The following is a 19366-nucleotide window of genomic DNA, read 5'->3' on the forward strand; positions in this document are numbered from 1 at the left end:
CAAAATAAAAGAGGACACAAACAAATGGAAGAACATTCCATGCTCATGGATAGGAAGAATCAATATTGTGAAAATGGCCATACTGCCCAATGTAATTTATAGATTCAATGCCATCCCCATCAAGCTATCAAAGACTTTCTTCACACAATTGGAAAAGACTACTTTAAAGTTCATATGTAACCAAAAAAGAGCCCGCATTGCCAAAACAATCCTAATCCAAGAGAACAAAGCTGGAGGAATCATGCTACCTGACTTCAAACTATACTACAAGGCTACAGTAACCAAAACAGCATGGTACTGGTACCAAAACAGAGATATAGATCAATGGAACAGAACAGAGCCCTCAGAAATAACACCACACATCTACAACCATCTGATCTTTGACAAACCTGACAAAAACAAGCAATGGGGAAAGGATTCCCTATTTAATAAATGGTGCTGGGAAAACTGGCTAGCCATATGTAGAAAGCTGAAACTGGATTCCTTCCTTACACCTTATACAAAAATTAATTCACGATGGATTAAAGACTTAAATGTTAGATCTAAAACCATAAAAATCCTAGAAGAAAACCTACGCAATACCATCCAGGATATAGGCATGGGCAAGGACTTCATGACTAAAACAACAAAAGCAATGGCAACAAAAGCCAAGATAGACAAATGAGATCTAATTAAACTAAAGAGCTTCTGCACAGCAAAAGAAACTACCATCAGAGTGAACAGGCAACCTACAGAATGGGAGAAAATTTATGCAATCTACCCATCTGACAAAGGGCTAATATGCAGAATCTATAAAGAACTCAAACAAATTTGCAAGAAAAAGACAAACAGCCCCATCAAAAAGTGGTCAAAGAATATGAACAGACACTTCTCTAAAGAAAACATCTATGCAGCCAACGGACACATGAAAAAATGCTCATCATCACTGGTCATCAGAGAAATGCAAATCAAAACCGCAATGAGATACCATCTCATGACAGTTAGAATGGCAATCATTAAAAAGTCAGGAAACGAGATGCTGGAGAGGATGTGGAGAAATAGGAATGCTTTTACACTGTTGGTGGGAGTGCAAATTAGTTCAACCATTGTGGAAGACAGTGTGGTGATCCCTCAAGGATCTAGAACTAGAAATACCATTTGATCCAGCAATCCCATTACTGGGTATATACCGAAAGGATTATAAATCATGTTACTATAAAGACACATGCACACATATGTTTATTGCAGCAAGCACTATTCACAATAACAAAGACTTGGAAGCAACCCAAATGTCCATCAGTGATAGACTGGATTAAGAAAATGTGGCACATATACATCACGAAATACTATGCAGCCATAAAAAAGGATGAGTTCATGTCCTTTGCAGGGACATGGATGAAGCTGGAAACCATCATTCTGAGCAAACTATCACAAGGACAGAAAACCAAACACCGCATATTGTTATTCATAGGTGGGAATTAAACAATGAGATTACTTGTAGACAGGGCAGGGAACATTACACACTGGGGCCTGTCGTGGGGTGGGGGGCTAGGGGAGGGATAGCATTAGGAGAAATACCTAATGTAAATGAGGAGCTGATGGGTGCAGCAACTAACGTGGCACATCTATACCTATGTAAGAAACCTGCACGTTGTACACATGTATCCTAGAACTTAGAGTATAATAAAAAAAATCAGGCTATCTAGAATATACATTAAAAAAGGAGTAAGCAGTAATGAAGAAGAAAAAATTAGAAATATTGATTAAGAAAATGATAATTGTTGAAATAAAACTGTGAACGCAATGACTAGCAGAAGAATGAGTAGGTAAGGGAAAGAGTCAAGAAGCACTCCCTAAAGGCATTAGGAAGGAATAAAGTGATAGAAAGTGTAAGAGAAACATTAAGAGGTATGGTGGATAGAAATAGAAATGTGAATATCGCCTCAAAGAAGTCCCCAAAGGAGAAAAAAGCAGTAAATGGAGTAGAAGAACTACTTGAAAAAATAATACCAAGTATTTTCCTGAGTTAAACAAATATGTAAGACATCAGATTGAATGTGTTCAGAGAGTTCCAAATAGAATGGATAATTAAGCTTTTGCCTTCCCGCTCCCTCCTTCTTTCCCCGTTTTGTTGCGAGGCTTCCCAACTGCCCCTTGACTCTTCTCCCCCTTTTCCACCCGCCTGCGCCCCCGCAGGAGCCTGGGACCGCCTGTGGGCAGCCATACCAGCCTGAAAGCACCCAGTCTCATCTGATCTCGGAAGCTAAGCAGGGTAGGCCTGGTTAGTGCTTGGATGGGATTCCGACCGGGAATGCTGGGTGATGTAGGCTTTTGGCTTCCCACTCCCTCCCTCTTTCCCACTTTTGTCGCCGGGCTTACCAACCGCCTCCTGACTCTTCTCCCCCTTTTTCACCCAAAAAGAAGAAAAAGAAAAAAGAAAGAATGGATAAGTAAATACCCCACATTAAATACATTATAATAAACATTTCAAAGAGAAAATTATAAAATGTTCCAGAGATAAAATTGCTCAGTAAAGATGAATAACTATCAGATTATTATCAGACATTTCCATAGCAACACTATAAAGGTAAGAAAGCAATAAAAATTGTTCAAAATTAAAAAAAAAGTTATATGGTAAATTCTTGTCCTAAAATAAATTAACTGGTTGTTTAAAGAAAGGGATGTTTGCAACAAGTCAGAAAGTTGAGGCATGTTGAGGAATTGTCTGTGAAAGTCGTGAAAAAAAAGTTATAAAAGAGAATTTATGCAAGAAATGTTGCATAATTTAATAGTAATTAGGCTTCCTGAGTGTAAAACTATTGAAGAAACACTTTATGTGCAAGGTGTGTAAGAAAAATAAAATATACTTTTGGTTAAAAGATTATAAGGAGGCATAAGAATGTGGATTTTTACCTACATTAAAAGGTTAAAAATATTTTGTTTTAAAGGTTTAAGCAAGTTTTAAAACGTTAATTGTAAAGGAAATTCTATGTGTAAACATATTAGCTAAAGTTAAAGGGGTATCATGCAGTTTTTCCGTGGACTGGACGTTAAAATAAAAGCACAGTGGGTTTTTCTTAAAACACTAACTGCTCTTTAACAAAATTATAAAAGGTTAAATAGAGTCTATGGAAATCTTACCTTATGGTCAGACATTAAAATTTGATAATTATGTCTATAGGGTTTTATTAAAATCAAGTTTAACATTAATAACACACTAATATAAAGGTAAAATTTAGCTTATCTGGTATAAAATCATACAGGAAGCATTGTCAAATGTAAAAGGGTGTTTGGGTTTCTTTGGTCTAACAACTAATAAAAATAGGTGCCAAAGGAAATTTCTCAGCAGGGAGGCACTAAGGACTATAAAGTCCACTGCTGGTGTTCCCAAATTTAAAACAAAAGATCAGTTTCTCAGAAATTATACACTTGGTTTATCTTCCACTTTCCTTTCTCTCAAAACTAAATGTCTTTTAGCACAGGTACCACCCCTAGAATTTCCAGTAAATCAGCACCAGCCTGGGGATCACATTCTTGTCAAAGGGTGGAAAGAAGGAAAATTTGTGCCAGCCTGGGAAGGACCCTACCTAGTGCTGCTAACCACTGAGACTGTTGTTCGTACCGCGGAAGGGGGTTGGACACATCACACCCGAGTCAAGTAAGCGCCGTTATCATCAGAATCATGGGCCATTGTTCCTGGATCAAGCCCTACCAAACTAAAGCTAAGAAAAGTGTAGTCTATCTATCTTTTCCTTTCCTTTCTGAATCCAGTGCCTATAGCCATTACTATTCCTACCACTAGCAACTCTAACCCCACTTTTGAGCATTTTTATGGTTTAGGAGTAGAGGTCACTGGAAAGGATCCTATAGGTTTCTTTAAGATGTGGTTTGTTCTCCCTCCTCCACCTCCTACAACTGCCCCTTTCCCAAACCTATGAAATCAAACTATGCCTCGCCTCATGCCAAATGACAAAAGCAAGGTCTCAGTAGTAGAAATAGAAGACCTAAGGCAAACCATAGCCATTGAAACAGAGTAAAAAGATGTAAATCCCTGGTTAAAATGGATTAAATATTCCGTTCGCACTTGAAACAAAAGCGACTGTTACTGTTGTGTGCACAGTAGGCCAGAGGCCCAGGTTGTTCCCTTTCCACTGGGATGGTCCTCAAATCAACTGGACATGGAGTGCATGGTAGCTCTTTTTCAAGATTCTACCGCCTGGAATAACAAATTGTGCCAAGCTCTTTCTCTGCTATTTCCTGAAGTTCAACACGCTGTGGGTCAGCCCCCAAGGGCCATCCAGCCTCCATCTTCCAAAGCCAATTTTACCTCATGTCTCCAATGACAAGGGGAAAAATTTGGCATTCCCTGGAGACTTAACAGGATGCAGGGAAGTCAGGCACTTCCAAGAGCTGACCCAACAGTCTGCCCTTATTCATCCCTGACTGGTTGTATGGTGGTATTAGGGAGGACCTTTACTGGACACTCTGCCAAATAATTAGAGCAGTACTTATGGTCTAATTCAATTGGTTATCTCTTTTACTCTGGCATTTCATCAACTGGAGGAAGGAAAAATAAGACATCGTAAAGTGAAAGAGGCCCCTTATGGGTCTTTCAACTCTCATGTCTATTTAGACGCAATTGGAGTCCCACTGGGAATACCAGATCAATTTAAAGCCCAAAATCAAATAGCTGCAGGATTTCAGCCAGTATTTTGGTAAGTTACAATTAATAAAAATGTAGGTTTGATAAACTACATTTATTGCAACCAACAGCGATTTATTAACTACCCTAGAGATGCTGTTAAAAGAATAGCTGAGCAATTAGGGGCTACTAGCCAGATGGCTTGGGAAAATAGGATAGCCTGAGACATGATATTAGCAGAAAGAGGAGGAGTTTGCATCATGATTAAAACTCAGTGTTGTACCTTCATCCCAAACAATACCGCCCCTAATGGAAGTATAACAAAGGCATTGCAAGGTCTGACTGCTCTGTCCAGTGAGTTAGCCAGCAACTAAGGGTAAATGGGCCCTTTACAGGATGCCTAGAAAAGTGGTTTGGTAAATGGAAAGGAATAATAGCCTCAATTCTTAACTTCCCTTGCAGCCGTAATGGGTGTACTTACTCTTGTTGGGTGCTGTATCATACCATACATCTGTGGGTTGGTGCAGAGGCTCATAGAAATGGCACTTACTAAATCCTCCCTTAACTATCCTCCACCTTATCCAGAGAAGCTTATTCTTTTGGAAAATCAAGCAGAACAACTAAGCCAAGACATGTTAAAGAAGTTTGAAGAGAAAGAGCTGTAAGGAAATGCAAGAGGAGGAGTTGTTAGATATGAGTTCTAAATTTCTTTTAAAAGAATCAGTATGTCAGTGTATTCAATTCTTTGCCTTCTACTTTGAAACTTAACTTCCTCGTAAAGCAACCTTTTCCGATTACCTGCTCCACCCTGTCTCATTCTGATTACCTGCTCATTCTCTACCCTGGCTCATTCCGATGTCCTCTCTGTCATAACCATTTTTCCTGCCAAACCACTCACCCTGTCACTCTCTTTAAATTAGCCAACTGGAATTAGTTTAACCTGTGTGGACTAACCCTAGGCAATAGGGGAATGACACAGCAGCAGGGGCCACATGCATCAGGAATAAGGACCCCTTCCCCTCCCTTGTCCGGGTGTGCGCTCACCATTGCTCCATCTGTGAGAGTGCAACCTTCTATAGAAGTAAACTGCGTTGCTGAGAAGAAAAAAAAATTTTATATTCGAGTGCTATTTCTTCTGTGGCACCAAAACTTTATTTATAACAGAAACCAAGCTGTCAGAGCTCTGGAACCATAGCTGTCTGCTAGGTGTCTCTAGCCATAGTTTTGCTTCCCCTTCACAGATGCAGTTTGTCTAAAATTGAAGCCATAACCCCTCCAAAGCCACTCTTTCTCCACTATTTATTTTGATGAATGGCCCATCGTAATCTAGATTTTCAAATCAAAATATAGGATTATTTCAGTTGCTCTTTTCTCATATCTACATCTAATTAATCAAAAAGACTAGTTCTGAAGCAGGAAATTTTCCTGACCCCTTCATGGGTGGGGGCAGGAACTGGAGCACATAGGATCTAGAACTAGCTGGCCGCTTTGGGTCTGGCAGGGGTGGACTCCATTCACTGGGTCCCACTGCGTTCCACAGGAACGGGGAGCACAGGTGAGTGGGTGCAGGAGCTGGGGCCAGTGCATGCAGGAGCAAAACTCTATGTGGCCCTTGGCAGTGTCTAGAGGGGTACCTAAGGCCCCTGAAGCCCCAGAGGGTGTGTGTTACAGTGCTCTTTTAACTTTGCCATCCACTGATGGCTTAAATGTTAAACAGCTCAGTAGGCCCTCTGTTTTTTGGTGTGAGGCACTTGCTCTCTGCCAGTGAGGGCAGAGGGTCAGTGTGACAGCCTTTAGTGTCACACCTGTGGCACCTGAGCTCTTGTTTGGCATCCAGGAAAAATCAGGTCACAGGAACAAATTGAATAATGGTGAATGCAGAGGATTTTATTGCCGATGAGAGTGGCTGTCAATGGGAAGGGGAGCTGAAAAGGGGATGGAGTGAGAAGGTGATCTTCCCCAGGAGCAACGCCATTAAGCCATACCTCTGAAGTCGAGCTGTTTCTTCTCTCCTCTCCTCTCTGCCATTGGAGCCTGGGGTTTTTATGGGCACAGGATGGGGGGCAGGGGGACCATAGGTGGTTTTGGAAAAGGCAACATTCAAGAGGGAAAACAGGGATGCATGTTCTCACTTTGGGCTGTGTTTTCAGGCTTGAGGTTGGAGCCCTCACTGGGGACCTGCCCTCTTCTGCCCAGAATTTCCCTGCCTTCTATCCCTGTCAGTTCCATTTGCAAATACAGTTTATCTCAACATTTCTTCTTCAACATTTCCTCTGCCTTACTTCTGGTTTCCATAATTTCCCCCAAATCTTTTCTATGTTCTCCTTGCCCACCTCTAATTATTGGGGGAACCTGCCCCCAATATTTCAACATAGGTTCTTTCTATTTTCCATAAGTGTCAGTCAGCTGAGAAATAGAGAAAGAGTACAAAGGGAGGAATTTTACAGCTGGGCTGCCGGGGGTGACATCACATATCAGTAGGACCGTGATGCCCACCTGAGCCTCAAACCAGCAAGTTTTTTATTAAGGGTTGCAAAAGGGAAGGGGGTGTAAGAACAGAGAGTAGGTACAAACATCACATGCTTCAAAGGGCAAAAAGCAGAACAAAGATCATATGCTTCTGAGGGAACAGGACAAAGGGCAAAAGCAGAACTACTAATAAGGGTCCAACAAAGATCACAAGACAAAGGGCAAAAGCAGAGCTACTGATAAGGGTCTATGTTCAGCAGTGCATGTATTATCTTGATAAACATCTTAAACAACAGAAACAGGGTTCGAGAGCAGACAACTGGTCTGACCACAAATTTACCAGGGCCGGGTTTTTCCCCACCGTAGTAAGCCTGAGGGTACTGCAGGAGACCAGGGCATATCTCAGTCCTTATCTCAACCACATAAGACAGAGCAGCCGTTTATAGACCTCCCCCCAGGAATGCATTCCTTTACCAGGGTATTAATATTAATATTCCTTGCTAGGAAAAGAATTTAGTGATATCTTCCCTACTTGCACGTCCGTTTATAGGCTCTCTGCAAGAAGAAAAATATGGCTGTTTTTGCCCAACCCCGCAGGCAGTCAGCCCATATGGTTGACTTCCCTTGTTCCCTAAAAATTGCTGTTATTCTGTTCTTTTTCAAGGTGCACTGATTTCATATTGTTCAAACACACATGTTTTACAATCAATTTGTACAGTTAACACAATTATCACAGTGGTCCTGAGGTGACGTACACCTTCAGCTTACGAAGATAACAGGATTAAGAGATTAAAGTAAAGACAGGCATAAGAAATTATAAAAGTATTATTTGGGAACTGATAAATGTCCGTGAAATCTTCACAATTTATGTTCCTCTGCTGCGGCTCTAGCAGGTCCCTCTGTTTGGGGTCCATGACTTCCCGCAACATCCAATCAATCCTCCATAATGGGCAAAGTGATCTTTCCATAGTGTAAATGTGTTCCCACCACTCTCTGGAGTAATCCTACTTAAAACCGTTTTCAGCACAAAATTCAAACATCTAAACATGATCTTGCTGGCTTTGCTTTTGTGGCTTTACCCTCTTTCTCCCCAAACCTAGCTAGTGTTTGTGCTGCCTGTAATGCCCTTCTTTCTTTGCAGGGGTCGCCACTTTAGGTCCTGGTCCTCCTTCAGAAAGTTTTTCCTCTTTCTCCCCAGCGGGGATAGGGTCTGTTTATTTTGACACCATTAGCTCACTTACACACATTGGTCACAAGTCTAGGCTGCACCGTTATTGAAAGTTTACCATCTGACTCTGAGTAGCTTGAGGATCCTATCAAAACTCAGGAGATGCTCAGTAAATGTTGATTGAACTATGACTGTTCTCAACATACAAACGCAAGATCATTTAGGAACACTTGTCAAAATGTTTTTGCCCCTTGAGATTCTATTTTGGGAGGTAAGCAGTGGGGGTCCAGGACTCTGCATTTTGACAGTCCCCTGATGTTTGCATGTAGAAGTGCAGGGATTATTACACTGACAAATCTTTACCATCCCTAAGGGGGACTTTCCTTCCCAGGGGCTATCTCTGGAAGCCCCTCAAGGATAGGGGCCGCATGCTGTTTCTCTAGGTCAGCAACTAAACCCAGAAAACGTTTATTGAGTGAATGATGAAACGACAGGTGAATAGATGAACGCAAGGTGTCGAGTTAACTATTCTTCTACACAAGTCCTAGCAGCTCCCATTGCTTCCAGCCGCAGAAATGGCCCCTGGAAGGCAAGTCTTCCAGCGAGTGGAGTCACTCTTAACTACATTTCCCAGGATTCCAAGGGAGCCGCGCGCTCTGCGCTCATCTTCCTACCAGAAATCGGCAAGTCACTGACCCTCGTCCCGCCCCCGCCATTCCCCGCCTCCTCCTGTCCCGCAGTCGGCGTCCAGCGGCTCTGCTTGTTCGTGTGTGTGTCGTTGCAGGCCTTATTCATGGGCTCACCGCTGAGGTTCGACGGGCGGGTGGTACTGGTCACCGGCGCGGGGGCAGGTGAGCATGCGAAGGTTGGAGGCCGCGCCCCTTGCTGAGGCGCAGCTGGCTGCTCTTTTCGGGCCGGCATACGCGCGCAGCCGCAGCTGAGGTCACCCCGCTGAGGTGGTGGGGAGGGGAATGGTTATTCTTGAGGCACCGCATCTCTTGAGGAGGAAAGAGCCGGAAACACCTGGTCTCTCAAGCAGGTACAGCCCGCTTCTCCCCAGCACCCCGGTGTGGGCTTCCCAAGGTCCTGCCTGAGAGGAGAGGCCAGGCTGGGCTGCTGATTGCAAAACTGGGTGAAAGTTCTCCCTGACCCTTATCTGTGGGCATCGATTGTTACTCTTCCTGCAATTAACTCTCTTAGATCTTTGCCTAGTCTTTTAAAGGACTGAAAAGCCGCGAGGGGCGGGGGCTGGAATTCGCCCCCTGAAGCGCAGAGATGTCAGCTCCTGAAAAGTCATTCGGTCGTTCAGTGTTTGTTTCCCTCTGTCGTAAGATTTTAAGTTCGTGAGAGGACCTTCTTTAAAGAGGGCGTCTGATAAGAGCCCTTCCCCGTTGGAGTTTGTATGCTTAGCAAGTCACAATCTGTTCTCGAAATCCACTGGAGTCTTGGCAGAGGTTGTAAGCTCAAATGCGCACAGGGGTCAGGCGTATGATGGAGAAAGAAAATGGGAGTAGGATGGGCACATCTGAGGAACTGGAGAGCAGAGAATTCCGAAGTGGACCGGCCAGTGGGAAAGTTGCCTGTATTTCAGGAGCGGCAAAATGGAAAATTGTTATGTGAAATAGCCCCATTTTTTAAAGTACAAAAAATTAAAACAAACCATTCATACCAACATAGATGCTGTGCAGTGAGATTTTACATTAGTTTCTCACCAGTGGGTGACCTCTGTAACCTCCAAGTGCAGGGATCTTGACATTATGCACCTTTGATTCTCCACTGGTAGTACCTTATACCTGGAAAGGCCCTAATGCATGAATTATTTGAGTTATATATTAAACGTTACAAACTGGAATTCTGTCAATTAATTCCTATGTACTTTCATATCTGTATTGATAAAGTGGCTTCTTATGCTGCCTTTCAGAAAATGCTTTCAGTGTTGATGAATAGCCAAGTATTTTATACCCATAGCTGTCTGGTTATCTCTGCATGGGCATGTATTTGGGTGTAGTCATACCTTCTAAATGTTTTTAGGAAAACATTTTGTTTACACTTTGCTTTTATTGTAAATAATGTATTTTACAACGCTTGGTGTTTTAAATCTTTTTTGACAGCTCTTGGATAATTTTCATGCAGGAGGTCCAGGGATTACATTCTAAGACGTTTTTGCCATCGCTAAGGAGACTTTCCTTTTCAGGGGCTATATCTGAAAATCATTCAAGGATAGGGACTGCTTCTTTTGACACCATTAGCATACTTACACATGGTATGCAGTACATTTTACACCAGTACTCAGTACACTTACACAAGCACATACATCTGTATTTAAAACCAGTTCATGATATAGTGTGTAGTACAGGCAATGCATCCTGAAATTTATTTTCTATTCTGTTTTATTTATAAATTGTAATTGTAACCCACAAAATTGATTTTGTGAAACAATGAGTTGTGACTAGACAGTTATGAACTTAGCACCTGCTGTTCATAAACTGGTTAAATTCTCTCTTACCCATTCAGAGTTGATTAAATTTTTTTTTTTTTTCAGAGCTAAAGGTTTTACTCTGTACCCAGGCTGGAGTGCAGTGACCCGATCATGGCTCACTGTAACCTTGAACTCCTGGGCTCAAGTGATCCTTTTGCATCAGCTTCCAGACTAGCTAGGACTGTAGGCATGTGCCACCACGCCCAGCTAATTTTTAAATGTTTTCAAGAGATGGAGTCTCGCTTTGTTGCCCAGGCTGGTCTCAAACTCCTGGCCTCAAGTGATCCTTCTGCTTGGATTAAATTCTAAAATAAGTTATTTGGTGAAATTTCCTAGTTTTGGAAAACTGTATATTTTTGGTTCTTTTTGTTTTTGTTTGAGAGGGAGTTTTGCTCTGTTGCCGAGGCTGGAGTGCAGTGACATGATCTTGGCTGACTGCAACCTCTGCCTTCCGGGTTCAAACAATTCTCCTACCTCAGCCTCCCAAGTAGCTGGGGGTACAGGTGCACACCACCAAGCCCAGCTGATTTTTGTGGTTTGAATAGAGACGGGGTTTCACCCTGTTGGCCAGGCTGGTCTTGAACTCCAGACCTCAAATGATCCGCCCACCTCTGTCTCATAAAGTGTTGGGATTACAGATGTGTGTCACTACTCCTGGCCTTGGGTTGTTTTTGGAAGGGGCTAATAATTTATGTATCTCAGTTTGTTATTTGTATACTTATTGATTAATTTATACTAAATATAAATTGTTAATTAAATTTATTCATTTGTCAATGAAATTTATCAATTAACTTAAAATGTAAAAAATATACACATATTAAAAAATGTAAACAATACAGAAAAACAATCCAGAAGTAAGCCTTCCACCCCTTATTGCTAGCCACATAGTTCTGTCCTCCAGAGGTAACCACTAATTGCCAGTTTCTAATGTGTTTTTCCCGAGATACTCTATGCCTATAAAACTTCTCTCTTGGCTGGGGATGGTGGTGGCTCACGCCTGTAATCCCAGCACTTTGGGAGGCCGAGGTGGGCTGATCACGAGGTCAAGAGATCGAGACCATCCTGGCCAACATGGTGAAACCCCATCTCTACTAAAAATACAAAAATTAGCTGGGCGTGGTGGCGGGCGCCTGTAGTCCCAGCTACTCGCGAGGCTGAGGCAGGACAATCACCTGAACCTGGGAGGTGGAGGTTGCAGTGAGCCGAGATCATGCCACTGCACTCCAGCCTGGGCGACAGAGTGAGACTGGATCTCAAAAAAAAAGAAAAAAAGCAAAACTTTCTCTCTCTCTCTCTCTCTCTCTCTCTATATATATATATATAATTTCTTTTTGGATATATAAATTTACACCTTGTAGCTTTGAGTCAGAATTAAATATTTTCTGTATTTGATGACTGTGTAGTCAGGGTTCACTGTGGGATACAGAAACCACTAGATATTTTAAGCAGCAAAGGATTCAATACAGGCAATTAGGTTTTAGGCAGGTCTTCTTAGAATAACTCCTGAAACAATAGGAAATTGATCCATTAGAGGAGGCAATACCTCTGAGGCTGTCATTGGAGCTGTGCCACAGCCCAAGTAGCACTGGCACTAGGGACCTGAAGTATGGAAGCTGCCATCCAGGGATTAGGGAGCTGAATGAAGAAGTCGCTGCTATAGTCAGTTTCTGAATACCTAGGAACTTTCAAGAAAACTAGCTTCTTAACAACAACAGCCAGAACTCCCAGTAAGGTGGTCTCTGTCTCACTTACACCTTCTAAGTTTTATGCAGATGCATCAGATGGTGGAACCCAATTCACAGCATCCTAGCAGCTAAGTAGAATGGTAGGAAGTGGTAGTAGAATAGGTGGAAAAATACAGTTTTAAGCTTTCCAGCCTCTGCAAGCAGAAGAGAGTGGATAGGTTGAGAATGTCAGTGATAGGATAGGTTGAGAGTATCATTAAAATGTAATTAATTGTTCACCAATTTCTTTAAATGGGGATTGAGTTGAGCGGACCAAAAAAATTATGCTGACATTTCTTCAACTTTCTGATTATTTTGTTTTTGATTAGGATTGGGCCGAGCCTATGCCCTGGCTTTTGCAGAAAGAGGAGCGTTAGTTGTTGGTAAGTTGGTGTGTTTTTCTTTTTAATCTGTAGCTGATAACTGAAATACAATCTTTACAAGCTATCTTTGTCTTTCTATCAAATAATTTGTCAAGGTTGAATTTTATTATTAATTTTTACTTTTGCCAGAAGGTTTTTACCCCGACTAAGGCTGTCTGTCTAAATTACTTTTAAAAGGGAACCAGTTTCACAGAATTCCCAGCTTAACAGAATTGATAACGAAGGGCTAGGGGGTAGGCATGCTGGCTTGTGGCTATAACTCCAGTGACTCAGGAGGCTGAGGTGGGAGGATCGCTTGAGACCAGGAGTTCGAGCCTGCAGAGAACTATGATTATACCACTGCACTCCAATCTGGGTGATGGCGCAAAAAAAACCCTGTTTCTCACAGAAAAGGGTGGGGACAAGCATTTATTGTATAAAAGGAAATTCTTGACTTCAGTAAATTGTAGGCTGTAATTTTTTGAGACAGGAGGTTTGTCTACTGGTGCGAGATCAAAAGAGAGCCCCTGTAAGTGTATTGATAAAAGTAAGAAATAACTGAATTTTGAGAACTGGAAGTTTGGAGTCAAGGAATCTAAAGTATGGGTTTCTTGACTCTTTCATCAAAACTTTTCAGCTGGAAGTGTTTTAAAAAAATTTAATTGAGGGGGCAGTTACATGAGTTTTTGTTTGTGGAGGGGTCAGATGGAAGATACTGTATTGAAGAATCCTAAAGGTGGGAGGTTTTAGTAATCTGCATGGTTTGGACTGATCTAATGTGCTTGACAGTTGGTGTGGACACAGAAACGAATTTGTCCACAACTGAGCCTTTCTGGGGAATAACTAAATGGGTGCTAAGTGCAGGGGGATATGTAGGACCCAGTACTTATTAGCATATTTCCTGGGATAAAACTGTGGGCCCACAATGATCTTCTAATTTCAGCTTTCTGACATCTTAACGAGGCAATACAGAGAGACGAATTTTCATCAGTTTGTTCAGGGAGACACATATAACAAAAGAGTAAGCAAGCAACCAGGTTTTCTAAACAAGCCCTAAGCAGAGCACTTGATACACTTTTCTCCTTCATTGTGGATGTGTAGCTTATCTTTATGGAAGGAACACTGACGCTTTGGATGTTCCTTGTTTAAGATCATAGGCACTGTCTGCTAATCCAATCTGCTTCTTCTGGCAGGGATGAATTTTGACATTGTATTATTTGGACAGCGAGTATATATTTCAGGCCCACTTTGTCAGATTTTCCCAAGAATAGCTCATGTTGAGGCCTAAAGACACATGCTGTTACTATTTTTAATTTTCCTTCCTTTTTATGTTGCTATTTAGTTCTTAATATTTTTACCTTATATGTTTTTATTTATTTACATCTTTTCTGCTCAATTCCATAACGGCAAGGATCTTGTTTTATCTTTTGTATCTACTAAAGGACCTAGAATATTTCTTTGTGCAAAGAAGGTACTTTGTTCATTGGTTCTTTTATTGTTGATATACTTTTCTGGGGGAAGGGTGTGTTTGAGATTGGTTGAATACATTTCTTTTTTTTGTTCTTGACTAAGATATAAACTTAGTTTATAAACCTGTTTTGTAAAAAATTTTATAACAGTGTGTTCCTGTGCATCAATTTTCCTTTATTTCCCTGTTCCCTCTCAATTTCTTAAATTCAGATTAGGAGTATTTGAATTCTAAGAAAAAATTAAACAGAGATGCTGTGTCTATCTATTTTGTCATTGCATTATTATAGTAGAGATGATAATTGTGTCAAGTCCTGATAAAAGTCCAAGAATATAGAAGAAAAATATTTCATAAACTTGAATGAAGAGCCAGATTTAGTTTAGTATTAAGGAGGAGAATTCAATCCATGTGGAAGTGCAGAAATTTTGACTGATGTTTTCTATTCCTTTTTAAAGTCTGTGTCTTACCTGTTAGCCTTTTTACATGTACACCATAGACACCGTGTTTCCAAGTTGCATCACACACACTAATTTTTTTTTTTTTTTTGAGATGGAGTCTTGCTCTGTTGCCCAGGCTGGAGTGCAGTGGCGTGATCTTGGCTCACTGCAACGTCTGCCTCCGGGTTCAAGCAGTTCTCTGCCTTAGCCTCCCAAGTAGCTGGGATTACAGGCGCCTGCCACCAAGCCTGGCTAATTTTTTTTTTTTTTTTTTTAAGTAAAGATGCGGTTTCACCATCTTGGCCAGGCTGGTCTTGAACTCCTGACCTCTTTTTAGAAGTGGCATGTCACTTCTACCGACATTTCATTGGCCAAAGGAAATCATTTGGCTAAGCCAAAAGTTAGGGGCATCATTTAAGATAGTCTCCAATTTTGTGTTAATATGATTGCTATGTTTTATATTCCATAATATAAAGCTTATGGGATATTTAAATTTGGTATAAGAACTGCTAAGCCTTAGGCTGATACTGTAAAAAGGGACATTTGCTTTTGTGTAAATTACATCTTTCAGGAAATGCTTGTGCATTTCTTAAGTAGGTTATTGGGAATTCAGTAGTTTTGAGGTTTCCTCAGTAGGTGAGCTATATCTAGTTCTCTGAATAGTAAGTTTTATTTTGAGGACATAAACACAAGAAGGACTGACAAAAAGGAGCAAAAAGAACTCCTTAGTAAAAGAAAGGGAGTTCTACTCTTGAACTGAAGTAACACCTTTGGGTAAATTGAATTACAATCTTTTTAAGTAAGATTGACATGACTTTTCCGTGCTACAGTTACATAATAATGGTAAAGCTGAGTCTTAACTTCCTGTGGCCTGATGCTAGAGCCATTGTTTTTAACCCCTATGGGATCTTGACAGCTGGAAGGTGAACTGTAGTGGGCAAGGTGCATTGCCTTTGAAGTCAGGCCAAGTTTTAAATCCTGGCTCTGCTGCCTAATTATATGACCTCTCTGTTTATAGCTGTCTTAGCTAACTTCCGGGATTATGGTGAGGGTAAATGACAAAAAATTAAAGACTTTCGGAAAGGGAAGAGAAAGGAACCAATATCAGTCCCTGCTTACCATATATGACTCACTCTGCTCAAGAACTGGATATATCAAAGTGAAGGTCTTGTTGACTGAGGTCTTGTTGACTCAAGGCACATCCTAGCCCCCTTATACATGTTTCTCCTAGATGCTTAAAGGAAAAGCTCTGTGTCTTAGTCTGTTTTCTGTTGCTTATAACAGAACACTTAAAACCGGGTAATGTATTTTAAAAAAGGAATTTATTTCTTATAGTTATGTAGGCTGAGTAGGCCAGTGCTGAGGGGCTACATCTGGTGAGGAGGGCCTCCTTTCTGGTGGGGACTCTGTAGAGTCCCGAGATGGCACAGGGCGTCACAGGGCAAGAGGCTGAGTGTGCTGGCTCTCGTCTCTTTTCCTCTTCTTATAAAGCCACTAGTCTCACTCCCATGATAACCTGTTAATTCATTACCCGATTAATCTATTAGTCCATGAATAGATTAATGCATTTATAAGGGCAGAGCCCTCACAATTCAATCACTTTTTAAAGGCCCCACATCTCTTTTTTTTTTTTTTTGAGAGGGAGTCTCCCTCTTTTGCCCAGGCCGGACTGCAGTGGCGCTATCTCGGCTCACTGCAAGCTCCACCTCCCGGGTTCACGCCATTCTCCTGCCTCAGCCTCCTAAGTAGCTGGGACTACAGGTGCCTGCCACCGTGCCCAGCTAATTTTTTTTTTTGTATTTTTAGTAGAGATGGAGTTTCACTGTGTTAGCCAGGATGGTCTCGATCTCCTGACCTCGTGATCCGCCCGCCTCGGCCTCCCAAAGTGCAGGGATTACAGGTGTGAGCCACTGTGCCCGGCCAAGGCCCCACATCTCTATACTGTCACATCAGGGATTAAATTTCAATGTGAGTTTTGGAGGGGCTAAATATTTAAACCATCCCAGGCTGCTTTAGGCACTGATACACTCTCCGCAACGGTAAGTATAGTACTTAGTAATCAAGAATATATACTGATTGAATAAGTGAAACTGATATAATACAGGGAGAAAGATCATAAGAAGGCACATGTGAATTCCAGCTGATAATAAATGAGCCGTACATGAAATACCCACATCTCCCTTGGATACCTCCATGACTATCACCAATCTGGATTATGGGGGAAAACCTTTGAATAAATTTAGAGTAGCTCTTAGCTATTTGTCATTTTAAGAGCTAGAGTAGTTCTTAGCAAGTCGTTATTTTGTCATTTGCCAGTTTTAAAAAAAGTAATAAGGTTAATAGACTTAACATCAAATAGATTCATTTATTCATCTAACATGTATTTATTAAGCGTCTATTATGTAGCAAACACTGTTCTAGATGCCAGAGGAATATAGTGGGAATAAAACAGAGTCCCTACTTTCATGGTGCATATATTCTAGTGGGGAGTAGTGGAGGGACAGATAATCAAGAAATACATATGTAAAAATATAATAGATGTAGGTGCTGTGGAGAAAAAAATGAGTGAATGGAACAGAAAATGCTTTAAGGAGAGACTGCAGGAAGTGAAGGAGTGCGCCTTGAGGAGATCTGCTGTCGCGGCATCCCTGGCAGAAGAAGCAGCTGAAGCCAGGTTACTGAGGCTGCAGCAGGCATGGTATGTTTTAGGGTTAGGAAGGGAGCCAGTGTGGTTATATAGCGAGCAAGGTCATAAGGGAGACAAAAGTGAGAGATGAGGGCAGAGGGGTCCTAGAAGGCCAGATCACATAGGACCTTTAGTTCAGAGTAAGGACTAACTTTTACCCTGAGATGGGGTAAAAAGCAATGTACATAATAGTCATCAAGTAATATTGATGCTCAGATATGAACTTTATTTCTCTCTCAACATTTCAGTAAAGGAATTTATGATTCATATCTTATGTAACAAAGAATTAAGATCTTTTATAAATAAAGGACATTTACAAATCTATAAGCAAGTATCCCAAATAAAATGTGAACTAAATAGGCAAAACAATAATAAATATAAATATAAGCCATGAAAATAAAATATTACTTTACTAGTGCTCAAAAAAATGTAGACTAAAATAATGAGCTACAAATTATAATCATGTAATTGTCAGACTGAAGGCAATGATAATAACCAATGTTGTGAGAATGTGGGGTAACAGGCATTCTCACAAACACGTGGTTCTATTTTCAGGCTATTGATGCCTGATAATTTGGTACCTTGTACTTAGTTATCTATTTACCTACTTATAGAATACTTTTTATCGGATCTAAGTGTGTTTTAGAATTCCTTGGATCCTGGCTGGGTGCAGTGGCTCACGCCTGTAATCCCAACAGTTTGGGAGGCTGAGGCAGGAGGATTGCTTGAGGCCATGAGTTTAAGACCAGCCTGGGCAACATAGCAAGGCCCGCTGTCTTTGCCAAAAAAAAAAAAAAAAAGCCACGTGTGGTGGTGCATGCCTGTAGTCTTAGCTACTCAGGAGGCTGAGGCAGGAGGATGGTTTGAGCCTGGGAGTTTGAGACTTCAATGAGCTATCATTGTGTCACTGCACTCAGCCTGGGTGACAGTGATACCCTGTCTCAAGAAAAAACGAAAAGGATTTCCCAATATTCGTACATTCCCAATATAGCACGTATTTGACAAAATTTTGGGAATGCTTTTTAGGAAAAATCTTCTGTAGTTAATAGACTGTCCGAGTCACTGATTTATTTAAAATGACAGAAACAAGGAAAAGATTTATGTTAAAAAAAACCCTCCAGGGTTATGAACTAGATTTTATATGGAAAATGTACAAATGTATCACACTTTGGAACATTTTGATAGTTTCAGCTGAAAAGACTTGACCCTTGACTATCATAGTCTTACCATTTTTTGCTACCTATTTGAAAGCTATTTGAGTTGGGTGGTTGATTTATCTTTTGCTTCATATCCTCCCCCAACAAATGTGATTTTTTTTTTTTTTTTTTTTTTTTTTTTTTTTTTTGCTTAGTGGAACTAATGATCTTTTTAGGGTAAAAGAAACTTGCTTAACACATTTGAGGAGCAGAGTGGTACTGTAGTAGGTCCAATTTCTAGTGTAAATTTTGCCGTTTCTTATAGACTTAGGGACCCGTGGTAGGATAATCTTTTCCAAACTGTTTTCTTATCTGTGAAAGTAGGAACAATTGTTACTGCCACTCTCTTAAAAAGCTATCTGGAGATTAAATGCATCAGTGTACATAGTAGTTTTATTGAAATGTGAAGTACACACATATCAGTATAAGTTATTATTATTACTACTAGAATTTTAGCTATACGTTTAAGTGGTAACAGTGTCACATGTTATGGATACAATTCTCTTTGTATATAATTGCAAAAAGTATTTTTAATGTTCTTTCTATATCTAAGCTTTTCAGCATGTACCAATGATTTTCTTTTCTTATTATTTTTAATTGACACATACATATTTATGGGGTACAGTGTGATATTTTCATACCTTTATACAGTGTGTAATGATCAAATCAGTAATTAGCATATCCATCGCCTCAAACATTTATCCTTTCTTTGCATTGGGAACATTCAAAATCCTCTCTTCTAGCTATTTGAAAATA

At 40.8% G+C, this 19366-nt stretch overlaps 1 protein-coding gene and 1 pseudogene across 14 annotated transcripts in view, besides 3 other annotated features; both read left to right on the forward strand.

The window, feature by feature from the left end:
* Positions 2192-2309, forward strand: RNA5SP190 (RNA, 5S ribosomal pseudogene 190; annotated as a pseudogene).
* The window catches only part of HSD17B4 (hydroxysteroid 17-beta dehydrogenase 4), an 89836-nt gene continuing 79442 nt past the window's right edge, over positions 8973-19366 (forward strand). For 8 of the 14 annotated variants that reach the window (NR_164654.1, NM_001374503.1, NM_001199291.3 and 5 more), the window contains exons 1-2: positions 8973-9297; positions 12791-12844. Coding sequence is in view for 5 of the 14 variants with exons in the window: in NM_001199291.3 (NP_001186220.1) it covers positions 9230-9297; positions 12791-12844 (122 nt within the window). In the remaining 9 variants the exon portion in view is untranslated. The remainder of the gene's footprint in view (positions 9298-12790; positions 12845-19366) is intronic. The other 6 variants (NR_164653.1, NM_001292027.2, NM_000414.4 and 3 more) reach the window with 2 other exon arrangements.
* Positions 9074-9123: an enhancer, noted in NCBI's record as "active region_22989". NCBI's record gives its function as "activates an Ori minimal core promoter by ATAC-STARR-seq in GM12878 lymphoblastoid cells {active_cell/tissue: GM12878}" and the evidence as "EXISTENCE:reporter gene assay evidence [ECO:0000049][PMID:35858748]".
* Positions 15250-15902: an enhancer, noted in NCBI's record as "OCT4-NANOG hESC enhancer chr5:118794469-118795121 (GRCh37/hg19 assembly coordinates)". NCBI's record gives its function as "activates a minimal SCP1, AML or CMV promoter by ChIP-STARR-seq in primed H9 embryonic stem cells {active_cell/tissue: H9 hESC(primed)}" and the evidence as "EXISTENCE:reporter gene assay evidence [ECO:0000049][PMID:30033119]".
* Positions 18048-18265: a silencer, noted in NCBI's record as "fragment chr5:118797267-118797484 (GRCh37/hg19 assembly coordinates)". NCBI's record gives its function as "represses an EF-1alpha promoter that drives an FKBP-Casp9 reporter gene in an ReSE screen in HepG2 liver carcinoma cells {active_cell/tissue: HepG2}" and the evidence as "EXISTENCE:reporter gene assay evidence [ECO:0000049][PMID:32094911]".

Source organism: Homo sapiens, chromosome 5 (genome assembly GCF_000001405.40).
Source record: "Homo sapiens chromosome 5, GRCh38.p14 Primary Assembly".
Classification (NCBI taxonomy): domain Eukaryota; kingdom Metazoa; phylum Chordata; class Mammalia; order Primates; family Hominidae; genus Homo; species Homo sapiens.